Here is a 26,610-nt window from a genome sequence, read left to right on the forward strand (position 1 = left end):
TGGATAAGAAATATGACTGTGAGTTTATATTGATTAGATTGGAAGAAGCAATAGATGCTCTATTAAGATTATTTTCTATTACCTAATTCTATATTCAATGTATATCTACAATTCTGTTCTGTTATCTAATATCTATTAATAGAGACAGGAACACCTCCATCTTTTTTTGGAAATAGGTGGAAATAATCAAATAAGATTGGATATAATCTGTACTCTTGTAGTTAATTGTTATTTATAGATGCAACCTGATTCCATCCTCCACAAAAGTCACCCTAATGCAGATCAGCTTTTGGTAGGCCCTCTATATGTTTGAATCATAGCACCGGACACAACATAGACTGAGGTTTTGGTACTTTCTACATTAATATTCACTCAGAAAACTTTTGCCCATGCATTATATTTGTTATATCTGCATTAAATCATAAAAAAGTTATGATAGAAAAGTTTCAAGTGAGAAACTCCCCGTGATTTAACTATATTAGAGCACAGGATTATTTTATTTTTATTTATTTATTTATTTATTTTTTGAGACAGGGTCTTACTCCTGTCACCCAGGCTGGAGTGCAGTGGTGCGATCATGGCTCATTACAGCCTCAACTTCCCAGGCTCAGGTGATCTTCCCACCTCAGCCTCCTGAGTAGCTGGAGCTACAGGCTCCACACCTGGCTGATTTTTTATATTTTTAGAGACTGGGTTTTGCCATCTTGACCAGGCTGGTCTTGAACTCCTAGGCTCAAGAAATCTGCCTGCCTTGGCCTCCCAAAGTGCTGGGATTACAGGTGTGAGCCATGGCGCCCAGCCTATTTTAATTTTTAAAAATTTATATGGGGAGTCTCTCTATGTTGCTGAGGTTGGTGTTGAACCCCTGGGCTCAAGTGATCCTCCTGTCTCAGCCACCTAAATAGCTGGGACTACAGGTGTGTGCCATCACATCTAGCTAATAGAGTTGTTTTGAATTGGTTAAATTTAAGCCTGTAACCCATACGTGTAATAGAAATGTATATTTTTGGTGATTTATGAATACATAGTATTAGGCCAAGGTTTAGTTGTGATTGATATACAGCTATTAGTACTTACATATACTCTTAAGTAATCCTATTAAAATCATTTTAACACAATGGGATCTTAATGGCATATCTTTAAACCTATCTTATAAAGAAATGCTGCTTTAACTTAGATGCCAAGCACATATTTTAATTTACCAATTAGAAGTTCTATATGTATTCAAGTGAAGAGTGTTTCACCTTAATAATACATTTCATACAGATTGTTGAAATTCATCCCATTCCCCCTTCCCTCCCCAGTTTTTGGCCATATGGACACAGGCAGGACTCTCAGGAGTGCCAAGGATTTAAGCCCTCAAATTTTACCTGCCTACCATTTCAGCATGCGATAGGGACACATGGAAGGCAGCTTAAAGTAAAGGCTTTAAAAAATTTTTTTTGCTACCACCCACTTGCTGTTTCTTGCCCTTTTCTCTTTTTTTTAATGATTCAGAGGATCGACACTGTTGCCAGCTTACTACCTGCAGTCTTTCCAGTCTTGATGGTATTACGTAATTATATAAACCTTTTGCATGGTATCATATGATATTGTATATTTGTCTTCCTACACATGTGTCTTTAGAGTAATTTCTTTCCATCTGGTGTTGAAAATGAGCTCTTTGTGAGGTTATTTTTAAATCTTCAAGCTTTCTGGCATCCTCAACACTTGAAATAACACAATTGCTTTTGGAGGCAAGAAAATCCACATAGTATACTTTGTGGTTTTTCCAGTGAAAATGTAAATAGTATTTTATTTATGAAATTTTATATATATATATATATATATATACACTTTTTTTTTGTTTTTTTTTTTTGAGACGGAGTCTCTCTCTGTCACCCAGGCTGGAGTGCAATGGCATGATCTTGGCTCACTGCAACCTCTGCCTCCCAGGTTGAAGCGATTCTCCTGCCTCAGCCTCCCAAGTAGCTGGCATTACAGGCACGTGCCACCACGCCTGGCTAATTTTTGTATTTTTAGTAGACACGGGGTTTCACCGTGTTGGTTAGACTGGTTTCGAACTCCTGACCTCCTGGTCCGCCCGCCTTGGCCTCCCAAAGTGCTCAGATCACAGGCATGAACCACCGCACCTGGCCTATAAAATTATATTTTATATTTAGATAGTCTTGAGATAATTGTGTTAGGTTGGAAATAGTTGTTGCCAAGTAAATAAAGTAAAGGAGAGCTACTTAAGGGAAAGGAGACCAAGAATAAGAAGCCTGGTAGAGGAAAGAGGTTTTAAAGATATCTTCTTCTCTGAAGATTTATTGTTATCTTTTTATCCTCTGTCTCATTCTGTTGCCCAGGCTGGAGTGCAGTGGGGCAATCATGGCTTACTCTAACCTTGAACTCCCGGGCACAAGCAGTCCTCCCACCTGAGCCTCCTGAGTAGCTGGGACTACAGGTGCATGCCACCGTGCCCCGCCAGTTTTAAAATTTTTTCTTAGAGACAGGATTTTTTTTTTTTTTTTTTCGAGATTGAGTCTCACTCTGTTGCTCAGGCTGTAGTGCAGTGGCGCGATCTCGGCTCACTGCAACCTCTGCCTCCCGGGTTCAAGCAATTCTTCTGCCTCAGCCTCCCAAGTACCTGGGACTATAGGTGTGTGCTACCATGCCCGGCTAATTTTTGTATTTTTTAGTAGAGTCGGGGTTTCACCATATTGGCCAGGCTGGTCTCAAACTCCTGACCTCATGATCCGCCTGCCTCGGCCTCCCAAAGTGCTGGAATTACAGGTGTGAGCCATTGTGCCCAGGCTGAGATGATCTTATGATATTGCCCAGCCTGGTCTCAAGAGATCCTCCTGACTTGGCCTCCCAAAGTGTTGGGATTATAGGTGTGAGCCAACACACTCAGCCGTGATGCACTGTTTGATTCTGATAATCAGGTATGTGTAATTAGCCTTAAACCTTTTTCTTCCTTCTTTCCTTTCTTTTCTTTTCTTTTTTTTTTTTTTTTTTTGAGATGGAGTCTCACTCTGTCACCCAGGCTGGAGTGCAGTGATGGGATCTCAGCTCCCGGATTCAAGCGATTCTCCTGCCTCAGCCTCCCAAGTAGCTGGGATTACAGGCGTGTGCCACCACACCTGGCTAATTTTTGTATTTTAGTAGAGACAGGGTTTCACTATGTTGGTCAGGCTGGTCTCGAACTCCTGACCTCAGGTAATCTACCCGCCTCGGCCTCCCAAAGTGCTGGGATTAGAGGTGTGAGCCACTGCGCTTGGCAACCTTTTTATTTCTTAACGGTAGATTGATATATCCTCTAGCTTACTAAGTAACCTTTGAATTTTTATTATTTCTTTAATTGTAATATAAAAAGCTGATCTTTTATTAAGTGCCATTCCGTCTCCTAAAGATGATGCCTATAATGATTAAATAGTAAAGGTCAGTGTCATCTACTTAGCAAGATTTACCCAGTAAGTCTTTTTTTCTCCAGATGCTATTTTTGTTGACTTATCCTTGCTAGTTGTATTATCTCTAATATGACCATTAATGGACACTGGTTAACAAGATATGTTCAATATTTAATGTATTCTCTTTGGTATTTTGTAAGATGGAAAAGACTAGCATTGGGATGAATAATTGCATAATGATCATAGAATCATATTTAAATAAATATACCAAAGAATATATAACTAAAGGGCAAGTTTTTTTGTTTTATGTTTTTAAATTTTTATCATGCGTACTGTGGTAGGCAGCCTTTATTATGGCCCCCAATTATCCCTCCCTCCTGGTATGCATACCCTTAGTGTAATTTCCTCCCCTTGAGTGGGGGCTATTGAATAGAATACAGCAAAAGTGATGGGATGTCACTTCTAAGATTAGGTTATAAAATACTGTGGCTTCTCTCTTGGGATTCTGGCTTTCTCCCTCTCCCTGGGACCACTAGCTACCATATCCTGAGAACACTCAGGCAGTCTGTAGTGATGTCCATGTGGTTAAAAACGAGGTCTGTCAGTAAACTTGGATGCAGATCTTCGGTGTGAGTGATCTTGGAAGCAGATTCTCCAGGCAGAGTTGAGCCTAGAGGTGAATGCAAATGCAGTAGACAGCTTTACTACAACTTCATGAAAGCCCCTGGCCGGGTGCGTGGCTCATGCCTGTAATCCCAACACTTTGGGAGGCCAAGGTGGGTGGATCACCTGAGGTCAGGAACTCGAGACCTGCCTTGCCAACATGGCGAAACCCCGTCTCTACTAAAAATAGAAGAATTACCTGGGTGTGGTGGTGTGCACCTGTAGTCCCAGCTACTTGGGAGGTTGAGGCAGGATAATCGCTTGATCCTGAGAGGTGGCGGTTGTAGTGAGCTGAGATCGTGCCACTGCACTCCAGCTCTGGGTGACAGAGCGAGACTACATCTCAAAAAAAAAATAAAAAAGACCCCAAGCCAGAGTCACCTAGCTAAGTCATGCCTGGATTCTTCATCCACAGAAACTGTGCAATAATAAATGTTTGCTGTTTTAAGCCACCATGTTTTGGAGGGTAATTTATTGTAAAGTAATAGATAACTAAAACATCTACCACTTATTCATGTAATAAATACTTATTGATTGTTCACTATTTACAAGGCACTATCATAAGTACATTGGGACATAGCAGTGAATAAAATAGAGGTATCTGTTCTTGTGCAGCTTATTTCTTTTTCTGGGACAGGGTCTTGCACTGTCACCCAGGCTGGAGTGCAGTGGTGTGGTCACAGCTCACTGCAGCCTCAACCTCCTGGGCTCAAGCAGTCCTCCCACCTCAGCCTCCTGAGGAGCTGAGACTACAGGCACACACCACTATGCCTGGCTAACTTTTTTTTTTTTTTTTTTTGAGATGGAGTCTCGCTCTGTCACCCAGGCTGGAGTGCAGTAGCGCGATCTCGGCTCACTGCAACCTCCGTCTCCCAGGTTCAAGCTTTTCCCCCGCCTCAGCCTCCTGAGTAGCTGGGACTACAAGCACCCACCACCATGCCCGGCTAATTTTTTATTTTTAGTAGAGGCAGGGTTTCACCATATTGGCCAGGCTGGTCCCGAACTCCTGACCTTGTGATCCGCCCACCTCGGCCTCTCAAAATGCTGGGATTACAGGCGTGAGCCACCGCGCCTGGCCATTCTGGCTAATTTTTAAATGAAATTTTTTGTAGGGATGGGGTCTCCATATGTTGCCCATTTTGGTCTTGAACTCCTGGGCTCAAGTAGTCTCTTGCCTTGGCCTCCTAAAGTGTTGGGATTATAGTCATGAGCCACCACACCCAGCCTGGAGCTTACATTTTAGTGGTAGGGGATAAATAATAAATGTATAAATCAGGGATAGAACATAAGACATCAGATTTTAGTGAGGATCAGGGAAAGTAGAATGGGAGACAGTGAGGCAGGTGGGGTGTACATTTTAGATAAGGGTGATACTTCTGATAAGGTGACATTGGAGCAGAGTCCTAAATGGAGTAAGACAGTGAGCTGTGCAGGTATCTGGGGAAGAGCATCCCAGGCAGAAGGAACAAAATGCACAAAAGTTAAGCGGGTTTGGTGTGTATGAGAAACATTGATCCAGCATGTTGGGTCAAAATGATCTAGGGAAAAGTAGCAGGAGTTTAATTCAGAGAGGTCATAGGTAGGAGAAGGAGCAAATCATTGTAGTGCCTTATTGCCTGTGTTAATGACTTCGCATTTTATTTGGAGACGGGAGTTCTTGGGAGGATTTTGAGCAGAGGAATGGCACGATCCTTCATTTAGTACATGTTAAGTGAGCAGGACTCTGTTTATATATGTGATCACAAAAATATAAAAGATGGGGCTCATGCCTGTAATCCCAGCATTTTGGGAGGCCGATGTGGGAGGATTGTTTGAGCCCAGGAGTTTGAGACTAGCCTGGGCAACATAGAGAGACCCTTGTCTCAAAAAAAAATTATAGGCCAGATGCAGTGGCTCACACCTGTAATCCCAGCACTTTGGGAGGCCGAGGCAGGTGGATCACCTGAAGTCAGAAGTTCGAGGCCAGCCTGGCCAAACATGGTGAAATCCCATCTCTACTAAAAAAAAAAAAAAATACAAAAATTACAATTCAAGATGAGATCTGGGTGGGGCTACAGAGCCAAACCATATCACCTCACTTCTAATCATTCTGTAATGTAGGTATGATACAAATACATATCTTTTAAGGTTATTTTGATGATTAAATGGATTAGAACAGTGCCCAGCACCAGATAAATGTTACCCATTATTATTTTTGCATTTAATCTTCACCACAGCTCTTTGGAGTAGGTATTAACCAGGCCAAAAGTTAAGTAACTTGTCCAAAGTTACACAACTAGCAAGCGAAAATTCGCTTCAAAGCCAGTATTTTTTACGACTATACCTTTACTTATGTCCATGAGTGGGTGGGGAAGGAGAGATTTGGATCTTCTGTCAAAGCCAATGATTTCTTACTAATTGTGATCTTGTGAAAGTACTTTTCCACACCTCAGTTTCTTCTGTAGAATGAGCATAATACTCACATTGCAGATAATCTATAGAATAACTAATAAAAACAAACCTTGTAGTGTGCCTGTCAGAGGTACTCAATAAATGTTAGTTCCCTTTTCCCTTTGATAAAATCTGACCTCATGGAGATGGGAGAGAATAATCTTGCAATGAGAATAATTTTTACCTCTTGACTTATGCATTTTTCTACTTAAATTGGATGTCTGTCTAATGCTTATTATATATAAACATGTGTAATATAGCTGCACCTGGTTTTGTCTAGTGTTGATCTTTGGATTTGATCCAGACTTATACTGTAACATTTTTATGCCTGAGTGTGAGTATTCTAAAGACCCATTTCACAGCAAGTCTGGCTTCAGAGCTTTATTTCCGGTTGGGTAGAACACAGTCATGTGGTTGATGTCTCCATTGTTGCTTTTATCTTTTGCAGCAGATGTGAAAGTAAACATACAAGGTTGAAAAACAGGAAGGGGTTTGAGTTGGGAGGGTGTTTTTGAAAGGGGAACTTGTACACAAGTGACCTGCAATCTGAAGTGTAGCTTTTAGCAGTTACAGAAAGATATACCTTATTGTCTTAAAGTAAATAAAATAGCAAGTGATTTTGCAGTTTAATGAATTCGTGAATTTACATATATTTTTGCTTTTATACATTTTGGAGAAGCGCATATTGTGTTCCTCTTTTTGATTGAAACAGAGAACTGATGAATTCACCCCAATTCTGGGTTCTTTTTACCTGTGAAAAAAAATTTTCAGTAAGGAAGCATGGAGTTTTTTGTTGTTCGTGTTGGGTATCTGTTCTAATATCATTATATTTGGACTTCCTCAAAAGCCAAAACATAAGACCGCATTTTTCTACTTGGCTCTATGGTCTTTGTTCCTAAGGAAGGGAATTAACACATACTGAATGCTAGCTATGTATCAGATACTACTCTCTGTGTATGCTAATTAATTTAAATATTTCTGTGTTTTACATCCAATCTACAAGGAGTTTTTATTGCTTTGATGAAATCCCTCCCTCCCCCTTCTTTCCTCTCATCTCTCCCTTTCTCCTTCTCCTCTTAAATGATTCTCTGGCTGAACAATTTTCTATTAATAGTATATTTGGGAGGCAGTATGATGTAACAGCCAGTAAGGATATGGGATTTGGAGTCAGACCTGGATTTACAGTAAGGTTTTGTTTTTGATAGGGAAAAACTGCTTTCTATCTCAATAAATAAAAGCCAGGGTCCCACAGAACTGGCTTTAGAAGGAGATTCTGCACATGGGGTGGAGTAATTGGAGCTCACAGCAAGGACTTTTGTTCCTGAAGATTCACTTTCCCCTGGGGAATCCCTTGCTGACCTCAGAGGTGCTGCTTTCTTTTAATTTTCTGCCCCAGAGGAGAGTCTTCTCTTAATACTCCTGCAGAACACAGCTGAGACCAGGCTGTAACATCTGGTATGTTACTAAAGGCTCAGAGATGAAAAAGGGAAATAAGTACAGAGTTACTATTATGCTTCTGTAATATCTGGCTCACGAGATAAAACACACACCTCTGTAATTTGTGGTATTCTATTGGGATACCTCCCTTACTTGACCCACAACACATATGTTTTCTAGTGGCAGAAGCCATCTTTATTTCTGCTACTTGGGAGTGCCTCCAGCATATCCAGATTTCTCTAAATACAGAGGAGAAGGTCCAGAGGGAAAAAAAAAATTCTTTATCTTACCAGCCTGTGGTTATATCTGATACAGGCCCCACTTCTTTCATGTGATCAACACCAGGTCTATATAACCCTTAGGGGAGACCACAGTTACCCACGGAATATCTAATTACCATTCACAGAAGAGAAACACAAACAGTACAGGGGTGTTGGGTTAGAGGTAGGGAGGCCTTCCTTTTACCATTTACCACAGATCATATAATCTCTGATTATAGCTCCACAACTTGGAACAAAATAGCTCTCAGTAAATATTCCCTTCCGGTTCTTTTAAGCTTAATGCCATTTGATACCTGAGAAAACTACAGTTTAGTTTGTTGCAGTTTTATTTCTGAGAGTTTTGTTTGAGGAGATCTAGTACTTAATCAGGTCCAAAGTTAGGCTGAGGAAAGTGGTGATAAGGGTAGGTTGGTGTGATCAAGATAGAACACCTGGTGCCTAGAGCAGGCTGAGTTTAAATGTTAAAGGGGGTGTCCTTTGTAACATATAACATTAATTATAGAAGAACTAGGTTACTGATTCAAGGTCCTTGGGTTTGTTTCTAAGGAACAGTGCAATACAGTCAAAGATCTTTGGAATCATAAATGTGGTTTAGAATCCTGGCTCTGGTACTGACTGCTGTGTGTCTGTCTTTATGCAAGTTACACATTCTCCCTACTTCTCAGTTTCTTCATCTGTTAAATTTGTATAACATTTAACATGATATACCTCCCTTTTAGAACTGCCGAAATGATCAGAAATAATATGTAATATGCTTAACATAGTACCTGTCACATAATGTGCTCTTAATGAATGGGAACTAATTATTATTTTAAATGATGTTCCTTTATAATCTCACTGGTACTTGACTTATACATGCTGTGACCTTGGCCTTCTTTTTTTATTTTAATTTTTACTATTTTTTTTTTTTTGAGACAGAGTCTTGCTCTGTCGCCCAGGCTGGAGTGCAGTGGCGCTGTCTCAGCTCACTGCAAGCTCTGCCTCCCGGGTTCACGCCATTCTCCTGCCTCAGCCTCCCAAGTAGCTGGAACTACGGGTGCCTGCCACCGTGCCCGGCTAATTTTTTGTATTTTTTTTTTAGTAGAGACGGGGTTTCACCGTGTTAGCCAGGATGGTCTCGATCTCCTGACCTTGTGATCCGCCCGCCTCGGCCTCCCAAAGTGCTGGGATTACAGGCGTGAGCCACTGCGCCCGGCCAATTTTTACTATTTTTTTTGAGACGGAGTTTCACTCTTGTTGCCGGGGCTGGAGTGCAATGGCGCGATCTTGGCTCACCGCAATCTCTGCCTCCCGGGTTCAAGCGATTCTCCTGCCTCAGCCCGCCGAGTAGCTGGGATTAGAGGCATGCGCCACCACGCCTGGCTAATTTTGTATTTTTAGTAGAGACGGGGTTTATCCATGTTGGTCAGGCGGCTAGTCTCGAACTCCTGACCTCAGATGATCTGCCCGCCTTGGCCTCCCAAAGTGCTGGGATTACAGGCGTGAGCCACCGCGCCTGGCACTGGGCCTTCTTTTTTTTTTTTTTTTTTTTTTTTAAAGACTTTATTGAGATATAATTAACATATCATATGATTTAACCATTTAAAGTATACGATTTAATGTTTTTTAGTGTGTTTATGGGGTTGTGCAGCCATCATCTCAATCTAATTTTTGAACATTTTCATCCCCCTGAAAAGAAACTTCATATTCATTAGCAGTCATTCCCCATTCCCCACCCTGCAACCCCAGTCCTAGGTAAGCACTAACTACTTTATGTCTCTCTAGATTTACCTATTCTAGACATTTCATATAAATAGAATTATACAATATGTTGCTTCCTTTTTTTTTTTTTTTTTTTTTAAAGAAACAGAGTCTTACTCTGTTGCCCAGGCTGGAGTGCAGTGGCACCAACATAACTCACTGCAGCCTTGAACTCCTGGGCTCAAGTGATCCTACCGCCGCAGCCTTCTGAGTAGTTGGAATTACAGACACACACCACCACACCAGCTAATTAAAAAAAAAAAAATTTTTTTTTTTATAGAAACGGGGTCTTGTCATATTGCCCAGGCTGGTCTTGAACTCTTGGGCTCTAGACATTGTCCTTCCTCAGCCTCCCAAAGTGCTGGGATTACAGGCATGAACCACTACATCTGGCCCTGAACTGTGTGTGTGTGTGTTTTTTTTTTAATTTGAGACTGAGTCTCTCTCTGTTGCCTGGGCTGGAGTGCAGTGGCACGATCTTGACTCACTGCAACCTCCGCCTCCCAGGTTTAAGTGATCCTTCAGCCTCAGACCCCCTAGTAGCTGGGATTATAGGCACACACCACCATGCCTGGCTAATTTTTGTATTTTTAGTAGAGACGGGGTTTCACCTTGTTGGCCAGGCTGGTCTCGAACTCCTGACCTCAGGTGATCCGCCCGCCTCAGCCTCCCAAAGTGCTGAGATTACAGGCGTGAGCCACCGCACCTGGCCCATTTCATCACCTTTTTTACCTGTAATTTTTCTCTGGCTGAATATGCTTTTAAGAAATAAAAGTTCTCAATAAAAATCCTGTGGTATATTGTACCTTGTGATAAATAATACCCAAGATCCATGATGGGAAGGGAGATTTTTAAACATATCTTAAATACATGATACTGAAAGTATGAGGCAGACTAAATTATTCCATCAGTATTCAGAATACTTATCAACAGAGACTTTTTAGGAAAAAATACAAAATTATGAATACAAAACTAGGGATGAAAACAAATACCTATCTAGAATGAGAAAACCACAAGTTACATATTTTAAAAAGCTGAAAAATAGGCTGAGCATGGTGGCTCATGCTTGTAATCCCAGCACTTTGGGAGGCTGACGTAGGAGGATAGCTTGAGCCCAGGAGTTTCATACTAGCCAGGGCAACATATGATACCACACCTCTACAAAAAATTTAAAAATTAATGGGACGTGGTGGCATGTACCTGTGGTCCCAGCTACTCGGGAGGCTGAGGTGGGAGGGTCACTTGAGCTTGGGAAGCTAAGGTGGTTCTAGCCTTGGCAACAGAGTAAGACTCTGTCATTAAAAAAAAAAAAAAAAAAGGCTGAAAAATAGCACAAATATCACAAAATTTAGAAAAATAGCTTAACATTTTAATTAACTGATATGGTGTCATAGTTCATTTTTTTCTGTATTTTTGGCTTCATACTCCTCTAAAGAGTTTTATATTATGACTTTGTAATTTTTTTTTTTTTTTTGAGACAAAGTCTCGCTCTGTTGCCCAGGCTGGAGTGCAGTGGTGCGATCTCGGCTTACTGCAACCTCCGCCTCCCGGGTTCAAGCAGTTCTCCTGCCTCAGCCTCCCGAGTAGCTGGGATTACAGGCGCCCGCCACCACGTCTGGCTGATTTTTTTTTTTTGTATTGTTGGTAGAGACAGGGTTTCACTGTGTTAGCCAGGATGGTCTCGATCTCCTGACCTCATGATCCACTCGCCTCGGCCTCCCAAAGTGCTAGGATTACAGGCGTGAGCCACCGCGCCCGACCAATGACTTTGTAATATTTTCAATAGAGACAGCACAAAGATAATTCAGTCTTCCTTTTAGCTTGGTGGCCTTGGCAGGGGCCAGTACAAATGAGGGCCCTGAGCTTAAGCTTATTTTAACAGTAAATCTACTTCTGCATAGTAAGTAATCTTAAGAGATGAACCAAGAGGTTGTAATATGCCTAGTCTATATTTTAAGCATTTATTGCAATTGTTTGGTTATTATAAGTTGCTTCATGTGAATCATTTTCTTGGATTTAATGTTCAACTAGAAACTTGTAGTGTTTTGTTTTGTTTTTTGTTTTTTTTGAAATGGAGTCTTGCTCTGTTGCCCAGGCTGGAGTGCAGTGGCACTATCTCAGCTCACTGCAGCCTCCGCCTCCCGAATTCAAGTGATTCTTCTGCCTCAGCCTCCTGAGTAGCAGGGATTACAAGTGGGTGCCACCACACCTGGCTAATTTTTGTATTTTTAGTAGAGATGGAGTTTCGCCATGTTGGCCAGGCTGATCTCGAACTCTTGACCTCAGGTGATCCACTCTCCTTGGCCTCCCAAAGTGCTGGGATTACAGGCATGAGCATCATGCCTGGCCTCTATATTTTTATCTTTTCTTCCAGGAGCCAAAGCTGCTGCTTTTTCTCCTTTTTTTTTTTTATGCTTCTCTCCTACCTCCTTTAAAAAAAAAAAGCAGATATCTTTTTTTTCCCAAATAATTCATGTTATTGTTAATGTGGAGATGAAAAACAGGCCAAACTAGTTATATATTTTCAGTCTAAGATCTTTCTCCTCTGTTAAGTTTTAGACTAGATATTCTTGTTTTGTCAGGCTCTCAGTACATTTTCTCTTCCATGTCAACTCTAATTCTCTTCATCTCTTCTTTTGGTAGTGAAAATCAAGTAGAATATTAAAAGACCATATGCTCTGCAAATCACTTAGAAGCAAACTTGCTCTGTGATAGTATGGCCTTGATATTTGTCATTAATATTATTCGTTGTTTTATTTTTGGGGTAGCTTTCTGGAGGTCAAGGGTTTACAAGTAGAACAAAGAAATATGAGTAGTTAGTGACCGAAGAACTAAAGCTTTTTTCCAGGATTTTCTTGTTTTACAAAGACACGTATAGACATTTTGTTAGATTTTTAAATACCTCAGTTGACAATTTAAATGTTGAGAGCCCAATACTGTTAGTATTGTGAATATATTTGAGTTGAATATATTTGGTATATTTAGTTTGTATATTTAATTTTTTGAAAAAGTTTTGTCTTTATGTATTTTTTTCTTTAACATTTGAGCTTGAATCAATAAAGGGCAGCAACAGAAAAGCATTTTGGATCAAACATATTTGCCGTGTTCACTATATTTTGATGATAAATAGATGGCAACATTTGTCTTTGAGTCTGTCTTGTTCTGCTCAAAAAGCAGAAAAGATAGGAAGAGAGAAATAAGTAAGATTTACTGCACTTTGCTTAATATTCTTACAGCAATAACACACCTTAGCTGGTGGTATTTTCCTTTTATGAATCATAAAGTCAGACTGGGAGAGGTAACTTATCTAAGGTCATGAAGCTAGTAACTGAGGGTGCTAAGACTCAATGTTTAGCTGACTTCAAAACTGATGTGCAGCACTGTGATTGGATTTGGAACTCTCTTCTATTGTGGTTAGGGTAGTGGTAAACTTTCATCCTATTCAGATTTTCACAAGTCATAATTTATTGTCACCTAGGATGACCAGGATTCAATCTAGGCTATCACATTGCATTTAGTGGTTATGTCTTCCTTAGTCTCCTCCAATCTGTGATAGTATCTCCTTGCATTTCATAGCATTGATGCGTTCATAGAGTATCGGCCAGGTGTTTTACAAAATGCCAGTCGGGGTTTGTCTGATTTTTTTCCACGATTAGATAGTAGATTTTTGGGAAGAATACAGAGGTGATGTGTCCTCAGTATGTCATGTTGGGCAAAGCAAGACCTAGTCTAAAAAAACCACACACACGGTTTTAGATTTACAGATTTATTGTGAAGATAGTACAGAGTCCCTATATACCCCACACTGCAGTTTCCTCTATTATTAATATATTAGTATAGTATATTTTTAACATTAGTAAACTGATATTGATACATTATTGTTAACTAAAGTTCATATTTTATTCAGATTTCCTCAGGTTTTTTTCCTAATGTCTTTTTCCTGTTCCTGAATACCATCCAGGATACCACATTATGTCTAGTACTCATTTCTCCTTACAGTTTTCTTGGTTGTGATTGTTTCTCAGACTTGCTTTGTTTTTGATGATCTTGACAGTTTTGAGGGTTGTTGGTCAGATATTTGTAAGATTGCCTCAGTTGGGATTTGTGTGATGTTTTTGTCATTATTAGACTTGATAATGTGTTTTTGGGAGGAAGACCCAGAGAGGTAAAGTATCATTCTCATTACTTCCTATCAAGGGTACATCCTATCAATATGACTTATCACTACTGATGTTGACCTTGGTCTTAAGGTAGTTTATCAGGTTTCTCTGCTGTAAAGATACTTTCCCCCCTTTTCCATACTGTACTCTTTAGATGAAAGTCACTATGCATAGCCCACACCTAAGGAGTGGAGAGTTGTACTCTACCTCCTTGAGGGCAAAATATCTACACAAATTATTTGTAATTCTGCATCAGAGACTTTATTTTTCCTCATCTGTTCAATCATTTATATCAGTGTGGAGTCATACTGATATGGATATTTATTTTACACTTTGGGTTTTAATCCAGTATTACTTCATTTATTTTGTTGCTCAAATTGTTCCAGCTTTGGCCATCAGGTGCTCTTTTGGTTGGCCTCTGGTTCTTTTGACATTGTGTGTGTGTGTGTGTGTGTGTGTGTGTGTGTGTGTGTATTTTAATACTTTCCTACTTTGTGGTACTACAAAATGCTCCAGGCTCATCTTGCATATTTCCTGCCCGGCTCCTAGAATCAGTCATTTCTCCAAGGAGTCCCCATTCCTTTTATTGGATAATGGCATTAGAAACCAAGATCTGGCCAGGCACGGTGACTCAAACGCCTGTACTCCCAGCACTTTGGAAGGCTGAGGCAGAAGGATTGCTTGAGTCATGGACAACATAGTGAGGCCTTGTCCCTACAAAAAATGAACAGAACTAGCCAGGGGTGGTGGCGCATCCTTGTGGTCCCAGCTACTCAGGAGGCTGAGGGAGGATCGCTGGAGCTTGAGAGGTTGAGGCAGCTGTGAGCCATGTTCATGCCACTGTACTCTATCCTGGTTGACAAAGTGAGACCCTGTATCAAAAAAAGAAAAAGCATAAATAAATAAATCAAGATCTGGCCAGGTGAAGTGGCTTGCACCTGTAATCCAAGCACTTTGGGAGGATGAGGCAGGCTGATCACCTGAGCTCAGGAATTCGAGACCAGCATGACCAACATGGCGAAACGCTGTTTCTACACAAAAATACAAAAAAAGTTAGCCCGGTGCTGTGGTGCGCATGCCTGTAGCCAGCTACTCGGGAGTCTGAGGCACAAGAATTGCTTGAGCCTGAGAGGCAGAGGTTGCAGAGAGCCAAGATCACGCCATTTGCACTCCAGCCTGGGAGACAGAGCAACATCCTGTCTCAAAACACACACACACACACACACACACACACACCCCCCCCCCCCCAAGATCTACGCACTAACTGCTTATAACTGCTTAGTTGATCTTCTTCCCTCTAGTCTTTTTCCTTTTGCCATATTCATTCCAGTTTATCTTGCCATACTCATCTTCTTCAAATAGAGCTTCCATCGAGTAGGTAATCTCTCTCCTTAAGAGTTACTGTAGGCCAGGCATGGTGGCTCACTTCTGTAATCTCAGCACTTTGAGAGGCTGAGGCAGGCAGACCATGCGGTCATGAGATCGAGACCATCCTGGCCAACATGGAGAAACCCCGTCTCTACTAAAAATACAAAAATTAGCTGGGCGTGGTGGCACATGCCTGTAATCCCAGCTACTCGGGAGGCTGAGGCAGGAGAATCGCTTGAACCAGGGAATCAGAGGTTGGAGTCAGCCGAGACTGTGCCATTGCACTCCAGCCTGGTGACAGAGCGAGACTCTGTTTCAAAAAAAAAAAAAAAAAGTTACTGTAGTTTATTATTGCTTATCTGATCAAATATCCTTAGCCTAGCTTCCTTTGCCTCACCTAGTATACTTCTCATTATTAAAAGTTTGTCTCTCATATCCTTCTTACGCTGTTCTAACCTTGGCATGATTTATTTGCCCTTTCTTCTCTGGCCTTCCAAGTCTAATTCCCACTTTCTTCATTCTTATCTTAGGGTGCTCTAGCTTTTTGCATTTATTAGACTTGTATGTTTTTTGTACTTGGTAATTAATAGTCAAAATTAGAAGCACAATCTAAAACTTCAGAAGGGACTTCAGAAGTCATTTGGCCTATTTCTTCAGTTAGAGATAAGAAAACTGTGGCCCCAAGATGTGGAGTGACTTGACTAAGTGATGGCAAAGACGGAGCTGGATCTTTGGCTTTCTCTCACTTTGTACAGTGTTTTCACATATGCAGCTGCTTCATGCCCTATCCCCTAACTTGTATCCTAAAAAAAATTGAGATATAATTTACATATAAAATTTACCATTTTCAAATGTACAATTCAGTGGTCTTTTAGTATATTCATCATTACCACTATTTCAGTCCAGAACATTTTCATTACTCCAAGAAACCCCTTACATGTTAGCAGTTACATTTCCCCATCCCCCCAGACTCTGGCAATCACCATTCTTTCTGTTTGTATGGATTTGCTTATTCTGAACATTTCACATAAATGGAATCACATAATATGTGGTCTTTTATGTCTGGCTTCATTCACTTAGCATGTTTCCAAGGTTCATCCATGTGGTAGCATGTATCAGTACTTCATTCCTTTGTATGGCTGAATAATATTCCACTGTAGTATCACACAAAAATATTCTATTGTATATCACATTTTGTTTATCCCTTCATCAGTTGCTGGATATTGTGTTGTTTGTGCTTTTTGGCTATTATAAATAATGCTGGCTATGAACATTCATAAACAAGTTTTTATTTGAATATGTGTTTTTGGTTTTTGTGGATATGTAACTAGGAGTAGAATTGCTGGATCATATGTAATTCTATGTTTAACTTTTTGAGAACTGCCACATGGTTTTTCACAGTGACTGCACCATTTTACATTCCTAAAGGCAGTGCATAAGGGTACCAATGTCTCTGCATCCTTACTAACACTTGTTTTCCTTTGTAAAAAAAAATTATAGCTATCCTAAAGGGTGTGAAATGGTACCTCATAGGGGTTTTGAATTGCATTTCCGTAATGACTAATGATGTTGAACACCTTTTCATGTGCTATTGGCCATTTGTGTATCTTCTCTTGTGAAATGTCTGTTCAAGTACTTTGCTCATTTACATTGTGTTATTTGTCTTTGAATTGTGAGAGTACTTTATGCATTCCATAGACTAAACCTTTATCAGGCATATAATTTGCAAATTTCTCCTGTTGTTTAGGCTGTATTTCCACTTTTCTGACGCATTTTAAAGCACAAAAGTTTTTATTTATTTATTTTTTTTTGAGGCAGAGTCTCGCTCTTGTCGCCCAGGCTGGAGTGCAATGGCGCGATCTAGGCTTACTGCAACCTCTGCCTCACAGGCTCAAGTGATTCTCCTGCCTCATCCTCCCAAGTAGATGGGATGACAGGCATGGGCCACCATGCTCGGCTAATTTTTGTGTTTTTAGTAGAGATGGAGTTTCACCATGTTGGCCAGGCTGGTCTTTAACTCCTGACCTCGTGATCTGCCCGCCTTGGCCTCCCAAAGTCCTGGGATTACAGGCGTGAGCCACCGCGCCTGGCCATAAGTTTTGAATTTTGAAGTCCAATTTATAAAAAAATTTTTGGTTGTTTTTGGTATCATATGTAAGAAATCATTGCCTAAATCAAAATCATGGAAATTTACGTCTTATCTTTTCTTCTAGGAATTTTATGTTAGCTCTTACATTCATATCTTTGATCCATTTCAAATTAAATTTTTTATATGAGGTGAGACAGGGGTCTGTCTGGATTCACTCACTTGCAGGTAGATGTCCAGTTGTCCCAGCATTATATGTTGAAAGGACTTTCCTTTCCTCCATTGAATTGTCTTGGCACCCTTGTTGCAACCAACTGGATATAGATGTATGAGTTTATTTCTGGACTCTCAGTTCCATTCCGTTGATCTACGTGTTTATCCTTATGCTGGTACCACATTGTCTTGATTACTGTAGGTTTGTGGTAAGCTTTGAAATTGGTAAGTGTGAGTCCTCTAACTGTGGTCTTATTTTTCAACATTGTTTTGGCTGTTCTGGCTATCCCTTGTATTTCCATATGAATTTTAGCATCAGTTTTGTCCATTTTTGTGGAAAAGGTAGTTGGGATTTTGATGTCTACTGCACTGAATCTGTAGATTAATTTGGGAATATTGCCATCTTAACAACGTGAAGTCTTCTAATCTATGAACATGGGATTTTTTCCGCTTATTTAGGTCTTCCTTAATTTCTTTCATTGATGGGTTATAGTTTTCAATGCAAATCTTGTATGTACTTTGTTTGTTAAATTTATTCCCAAGTATTTCATTATTTTGCATGCTAAATGGAATTTTTTAAGTTATAATTTTCAGATTATTTATTGCAAATATATAGAAATACAGTTGATTTTTGAATTTTTTTTTTTTTTTGACACAGTATCTGGCTGCGTCATCCAGGCTGGAGTGCAGTAGTGCGATTTTTGCTCACTGCAACCTCTGCTTCCCAGGCTCAAGCAAACCTCCCACCTCAGCCTCCTGAGTAGCTGGGACCATAGGCATATGTCACCACGCCTGGCTAATTTTAAAATTTTTCTGAGAGACTAGGTTTCGCCATGTTGCCCAGGCTGGTCTCAAACTCCTGGGCTCAAGTGCTAGGATTACAGGCATGAGCCACCATAACTGTCCTGATTTTTGAATGTTGATCTTGTATCCTGCAACCTTGGTTAACTTGCTTGTTAGAACTAGTAGTTTTTTTTGTGTGGATTCCTTAGAATTTTCTATTTACAAGATTATGTCATCTGCAAATAGGGATAGTTTTATTTTTTCTTTCCAATCTGGATACTTTTTAAAAATTTCTTTTCTAGGCCTAATTGCCCTGGCTAGAATAGCCAGTGCAATGTTGAATAGAAGTGGTAAGAGTAGACATTCTAGTCTTATTCCTGACATTAGGATAAAAACCTTCAGCCTTGCTCTGTATGTTGTTACAGGATGTATTGATGCTAGCTGTGGATTTTTTTTAGATACTTTTTATCAGGTTGAGGAAATTCCTTTCTATTACTAGTTTGTTAAGTGATTTTTTATCATGAAAGGATGTTGGTATTTTCAAATGCTTTTTTTGTGTCTGTTGAGATGATCATGTGGATTTTGTCTTTTATTCTATTGGTGTGGTGTAGTGCATTGATTGACTTTTGTATGTTAATCCAATCTTGCATCCCTGGGATAAATTTCATTTGGTCATGGTATGTAATTGTTTTTTATAGCCACTGGATTTGGTTTGTTAGTATTTTGTTGAGGGTTTTTGTGTCTATATTTATTTATTTTTTATTTTTATTTATTTATTTTTTTGAGACGGAGTCTCAGCTGCCCAGGCTGGAGTGCAGTGGTGCGATCTTGGCTCACTGCAATGACCTTCTTCCGGGTTCAAGCGATTCTCCTGGCTCAGCCTCCCGAGTAGCTGGGATTACAGGCACTTGACACCACGCCCGGCTAACTTTGTATTTTTAGTAGAGACGGGGTTTCACCATGTTGGCCAGGGTAGTCTAGAACTCCTGACCTCAGGTGATCCGCCCACCTCAGCCCCTCAAAGTGCTGGGATTACAGGCGTGAGCCATCGCACCTGGCCTCAAGTGCTTTTTAAAGATCTTAATATTTTTCTTATGTTTTTGAATCAGAATGCCCTAGTATCAGTTATCTATTGCTACACAATCACCTCAAAACTTAATGATCTAAAATAATAGCTATTTTATTTTCTGTGATTCTGTGAATCAGGATTTTGGACAGGGCTCTGTGAAAATGGCTTATTTCTGATCCATGTGATAGAAACTAGGGCAGCTTATCAATTTCATGTGGCGTAAGTTAACAGTGGGTGGGCTGGAGCTGGAGGATCCAGTATGGCCTTGCTTTGATGTCTGGTGCCTCAACTTGGATGCTTCAGTCATCTGGGGGCTGGCTTGAGAAGGCTGGTCCTCATTCATGACTGTAACACTTGATAGGAGGAGTTGTTGGTAGCCAGCTTTGTAGCCAAACTACCAGAGCTCTTAAACAAATCGTACATCAGGGAGAAAGCTTAAATCTTGATTTTAAATGACTGTTTTGGGCATTACTTTCAGAATAATTATTAGAAGTGCCTTGATTAAACTTAGATAACTAACGTTAAAATATACGAAATCAGATAGTAAAGTGTTTCTTGGGAAATGGTTGAAGTAACCAGTTTTGATATTATGTTTGATAGGTGCAAAAATTAGTATTTCGCCAGGGGCGGTGGCTCACGGCTGTAATCCCAGCACTTTGGGAGGCCGAGGTGGGCGGATCACCTGAGGACGGGAGTTTGAGACCAGCCTGGTCAGCATGGTGAAACCCCATCTCTACTAAAAATACAAAAATTAGCCGGGCGTGGTGGCGGGCGCCTGTAATCCTAGCTACTCTGGAAGCTGAGGCAGGAAAATCACTTGAACCCGGGAGGCGGAGGTTGCAGTGAGTCGAGATCGCGCCATTGCACTCCAGCCTGGGCGACAGAGCGAGACTCTGTGTCAAAAAGAAAAAAAAATTAATATTTCTTGGAAATCAAGTCTGTTGGGGAAACTGTTCTAGACTGGTTGCAATTATATTTAATTTTGAGGTGAGTTATCCTAGTCCTAAGTAGGGAAACAAAAACATCCAGAGTTTGGATGTATGTTGTGTGACCAAAAGAAAATGTTTACAATCGTCTGACATGTTATATGCCAGGAAATATGCATTAGGATATCCATTGTGTTGCTTGATAAGAAAACGAAAGCACTGACATTTACTTTTCTTACTGGGAACTTTTCATGTCTGAAAGTCTTGATCACCTATTTATTACCTTGAGGTATAGGGTATGGAAAGCACATTAAAAAAATCAGTAGATGGTGAATTTGGTTTTCAGAACATATTTCACAGTATTAAACAGAATATCACATTATCATCACATTTAATGTGAAGTTAAATAATGAAGAAGGGCCAGGCTCAGTGGCTTATGCCTGTAATCCCAGCACTTTGGGAGGCTGAAGTGGGTAGATCACTTGAGCTCAGGAGTTCGAGATTAGCCTCCTGAGACCTGTCTCTACCAAAAAAAAAAAACAAAACAAACAAAAAAACTAGGTATGGTAGTGCTTGCCTGTAGTCCCAGCTACTCGGGAGACTAAGATGGGAAGATCGCCTGAGACTGGTAGGTCAAGACTACAATGAGCTGTGATTGCACCACTGCTCTCCAGCCTGGGTGGCAGAGTGAGACCTTGTCTCAAAAAATAAAAAACCAATAATGGGGAAAAATGAGGTATAAGTCCAACGAGGTATAGTTCTAGGCAGGTTTTGTAAGATGAGTATCCTTCGGAAGAAGAAACGTTTACAGTGAATTTTTACTGAGTCATAAGAAATATTTGTCAAATGTTACCTAAGCTGTAGTACTGATTTATTAACAGATAGTTTTTCTGTAAAGAAAATCCACATAAATAAGTGATTTAAAATGCTTTCTCAGGCCGGGCACAGTGGCCCACGCCAGTAATCCCAGCACTTTGGGAGGCCGAGGCGGGCGGATCACCTGAGGTCGGGAGTTCCAGACCAGCCTGACCAACATGGAGAAACCCCGTCTCTACTAAAAATACAAAATTAGCAGGGGGTGGTGGTGCGTGCCTGTAATCCCAGCTACTCGGAAGCTGAGGTGGGAGAATCGCTTGAACACAGGAGGCGGAGGTTGCAGTGAGCTGAGATGGTGCCATTGCACTCCAGCCTGGGCAACAAGAGTGAAGCTCTGTCTCAAAAAAAAAAAAAAAAAAAAAGCAAAAACCTTTCTCCCTGACTTTACAAATTTTAGAAAATTTGTAGAGTTGTAGAAAATTTGAACGATAAAGTATAAAGACCAAAACTAAAAATTACCCGTAATCCTATTAATGCTAATACTATAAATATTTTGATGTTCCTTCTTTCTTTTCATAAATTTTTTATTTGGAAAAGTACAGAGATAACAAAAACCAAAATGTTTTTCCTATTTTCACATAGTCATCACAGCACTTTTGACACCAGATGTGTGGCGTGGTTTTTCCCACACACTAACCAAGCAATTCTCCAAAGGATAGCAGCTGGGTGTCCTATATAATTCACTTCAATTCTGACACTATCTACCTGGAGATAGCATCAGATCCCACAGGTTGAGGGCTCAGTCCCACAAGACTGTCTCTCATATCAGATGCTATTCACAAGACCCAGGTTGTGACCTGTGCTTCTGACCAACTGGCTCCAAATTGGGGTTCCCACAACCCCCTCTTTGGGTTCAATCAGTTTGCTAGAGGGGCTCACAGAACTCAGGGAAACACTTTAATTATGTTTACCCATTTGTTAGAAAGAATATTACAGAGAATACAGATGAAAAGCAAAGTTGAAGAAATGCATAGGGCAAGGTATGGGGGAAAGGACATGGAGCTACCTTGCCCTCTCTGGGCACACCAACCTCCACGATCTTACATGTGTTCAGCAATCCAGAAACTTTCTGAACCAGTCCTTTTGATTTTTCATGGAGGCTTCATTATGTCCTGATTGATTACATCATGGGACATGGGTGATCAGCTCAACCTAAAGCTCCTTTACCCTCCCTGGAGATTGTGTGGTGGTGGTGGCACTGAAAGTTCTAACCCTCTAATCACATGGTTGGTTCCCCTGGCAACCAGCCCCCATCCTAAGGCTATCCTGGAACCCCAGCCATCACTCAATTCATTAGTATTCACAGAGACCCTTAGCACTTTGGAGATTCCAAGGGTTTTAGGAAGTATGTGCCAGGACCAGAGACCAAATATATATTTCTTACTGTATCACAATATCATGTGAGGTAATATGGAGCTTTGTGGATTTCATTCCTCCAGCTCCACCCTCCCCCCAACATTTTGATTCCATTGGGAAATCTTACTGTCATTTTAAATTATAATAGGAATATTAACTCAGTTTATTGGAATAAAAGATATAAGAAAAAGTTCTTCTCCTACTTATATACCAGGAGTGTGGGTTTCAACTCTGGCCAGTGAAACAAGCAAAATATGTTAATTTGGTAAAAAATTTCCATAATAACAGTTCCTTTGATTCTAAGGAAGGAAATAAAGATTTCAAAACTAATCGAGTCAAAAAATTTGTGAAAGATTCGAATAAACATTTCTCAAAAGAAGATATACAGATGACAAACAGGCATATGAAAAGGTGCTCAACATCACTGATCATCAGAGAAATGCAAATCAAAACTACAATGAGGCCGGGCGCTGTGGCTCATGCCTGTAATCCTAGCACTTTGGGAGGCTGAGGTGGGTGGATCACCTTAAGTCAGGAGTTCGAGACCAGCCTAGCCAACATGGTGAAACCCTGTCTCTACTAAAAAATTAAAAAATTAGCCGGGTGTGGTGGCACGCACCTGTAGTCCCAGCTACCTGGGAGACTAGGAGAAATACTTGAACCTGGGAGGCGGAGGCTGCAGTGAGCTGATATCGTGCCACTGCACTCCAGCCTGGATGATAGAGTGAGACTCCGTTTCAGGAAAAAAAAAAACAAAACAAACACACTACAACGAGAAGCTTACATCCAAGACAAAGGCAATAACAAATGCTGGCAAGGATGTGGACAAAAGGGAACCCTTGTACACTGTTGGTGGGAATGCAAATTAGTATAACCATTTTGGAGAAGTTTGGAGGTTCCTCAAAAGACTAAATATTGAGCTGCCATATGATCTAGTGATCCCACTGCTGGATATATACCCAATAGAAAGGAAATTAATATAACAAAGAGGTATCTGCACTCCAATGTTTGTTGCAGCACTGTTTACAATAGCTAAGATTTGGAAGCAGCCTAAGTGTCCATCAACAGATAAATGGATAAAGAAAATCTACATATACACATTGGAGTACTATTCAACCATAAAAAGAATGAGACCCTGTTATTTGCAACAATATGGATGGAACTAACTGGAGTTCATTAAGTGAAATAAGCCAGACACAGGAAAACAAACTCCTCATGTTTTTACTTATTTGTGGGATCTAAAAATCAAAACAATTGAACTCACGGACAGAGAGAGAAGGATGGCTACCAGAGGCTGGGAAAGAGTAGTGTGGAGGCGGGGGCTGGGAGGAGAGGAAGATGAGGATGTTAATTGGTTAAAAAAAATAGGAAGAATGAATAAGACCTACTATCTGATAGCACAATAGGGTGACTATAGTCAATTATAGTTGTACATTTAAAAATAACAGAATGTAATTGGATTGTTTGTAACTCAAAAGATAAAAATGCTTGAGAGGATGGATACCGCATTCTCCATGATGTGCTTCTTTCATTTTGCATGCCATATCAAATCATCTCACATACCCCATAAATATATATGCTTACTGTGTACTCACAATAATTAAACATAAAACTCTCAGATCTGGTTTTTTTTTTTTTTTTTTTTTTTGAGATGTCTTGCTCTGTCACCCAGGCTGGAATGCAGTGGTGCCATCTTGGCTCACTTCAACCTCCGCCTCCTGGGTTCAAGTGATTCTCCTGCCTCAGCCTCCCGAGTAGCTGGGATTACAGGCATGTGCCACCACGCCCGGCTAATTTTTGTATTTAGTAGAGAAGGGGTTTCACCATGTTGGCTGGGCTAGTCTCAGACTCCCTACCTGAAGTGATCCACCTGCCTCAGCCTCCCAAAGTGCTGGGATTACAGGTGTGTAATGTAATGCCTGTAATCCTAGCACTTTGGGAGGCCGAGGTGGGAGGACTGCTTGAGCTCAGGAGTTTGAGACCAGCCTGGGCAATGTAGCAAAACCCAATCTCTACCAAAAATACAAAAAAATTAGCCGAGCATGGTGGTGTGCGCCTGTAGTTCCACCTACTTGGGGGTCTGAGGTGGGAGGATCACTTGAATCTGGGATGCGGAGGTTGCAGTGAGATCGTGCCATGGTACTCCAGCCTGGGTGACAGAGTGAGATCGTGTCTCAAAAAAAGAAAAAAAAAAAAAAAGAACCAGAATATAATCCTGTTTATAAATCTTTAAATTTGGAGGTAATACTTTACCATCTAAAATTGTTCTTACTAATAATGATATAAACTGAATTATGCTATAATTGCCCTTATTCCAGTGAAGTCTCTGTTGTTACTTGTTTAATTATCTGGTGGTGAAAATTACATACAGATAATATGTGTTCCTGAAGAGAAATGCACCTCTGACATAATTCTCCTCCTTTTATTTGGAGGGGTGGGTGTTATATCGATAAAGACGGTGTATATTCTCTTTATTGATGTCCTTGTCACATAAAGGAGTTCAGTTAATGTTTGTTAATAATAACTACTTGGTATCTGTAGTTGAGAGGTTTTAAATAGATAATTTTTAAAATGAGCTATATCACCAACCCCAAATAGTGTTAAATGTAACTTTTATACTGCAACCATAGCATCACCCTAAGGGAAAAAAAGGAGTTTCATAACTCTAAAGGAAGGAAGGTATTGTGGAGCAGTGAATATATTAAGTATAAGTGTTTAATATTCTGTTTTAAAATTTTCTTTAAATTAGGAAATGGGCCAAAGTTAATGGATTGATGTGGATTGTGAGGCTAACGTCAGAATACTGTATATTAGCCACTGAATATTTATTTCTCTTGTGTATTTTGGTGGGATTCCTTACATAGGTTTGGCAACAAAACTAGAAAATAAATTTCCTTTCAGTGATACAAAATTCTGTTGGGCTAGCTGAATTAGATTGACATTAGTCAAGATTTGCCAGAAACATTGTAGTAGTGCTGGTTAATATAGCCTGGTTTTGCAAGGTGGCCTCAGACTGCTGTTATACTTGTGAACTAGCCAGAGTATCCCAACTGTGATAGGAAAGTAGACATTGTATGATGTATGGGAAATTCATCTTTGAAAAAAGTGAGTTTATGCCTTTCAGATCCATACTGTGAATGAATGAATATAAGAGTGAAAACGCTGCTGACAAAGATTTGGATATTTGATAACGTATACAATTTTATTCTTTTACTAAATGTTTATTCCTTTTTACTAAAAAAAAAATACTTTTGTGATTGAGAAGAACCTTAACATTGTCTACTTCAACTTCTTTTTTTTTTTTGAGATGAATTCTCGCTCTTTCGCCCAGCCTGGAGTGCAATGGCGCAATTTCGGCTCACTGCAACCTTCACCTTGCAGTGCTAAAGGGGTTTCACCGTGTTGGCCAGGATGGTCTTGATCTCCTGACCTCGTGATCCACCTGCCTTGGCCTCCCAAAGTGCTGGGATTACAGGCGTGAGCCACTGCACCTGGCCAACTCTTTTTCAAAAAAAGAATCTCCTGCTATAACACCTATCATCAGTTGGATTGGAACTGTGCAAAATGTGGATGTAAACAATTTAGGATTAACTAGACATAATGTGACAATTTTGGATATTTTATATTTTAGATTCCACTTTTTATTTTGGTCTACTGATTTCCAGTAGAAAAAATTTTAGGATTTCTGTAACACGTAAATAATTGCAACTTCAATAACATATGATTACTTGAAATAGCGACTCTATTTTTCATTTCATTGAAGTAGTAACTGCATTTTGTTTCATACCTATACTCCTCCCTGCTTCAATATTTAGCATGTCACTTTGACC

The 26,610-nt window shown here is 40.2% G+C and overlaps 1 protein-coding gene and 1 long non-coding RNA gene across 71 annotated transcripts in view; one reads left to right on the forward strand and one right to left on the reverse strand.

The window, feature by feature from the left end:
• The window catches only part of EPB41 (erythrocyte membrane protein band 4.1), a 232,942-nt gene that overhangs the window by 33,030 nt on the left and 173,302 nt on the right, over positions 1–26,610 (forward strand). The gene's annotated exons all lie outside the window — the stretch shown is intronic.
• On the reverse strand, positions 7,100–22,517 carry LOC124903886 (uncharacterized). The gene is made up of 3 exons (XR_007065563.1): positions 22,431–22,517; positions 7,845–7,948; positions 7,100–7,236 (listed from the first exon to the last, which is right to left on the reverse strand). It is a non-coding gene; the product is annotated as an uncharacterized LOC124903886 (long non-coding RNA).

The sequence above is a fragment of the Homo sapiens genome, chromosome 1 (genome assembly GCF_000001405.40).
Source record: "Homo sapiens chromosome 1, GRCh38.p14 Primary Assembly".
NCBI lineage: Eukaryota > Metazoa > Chordata > Mammalia > Primates > Hominidae > Homo > Homo sapiens.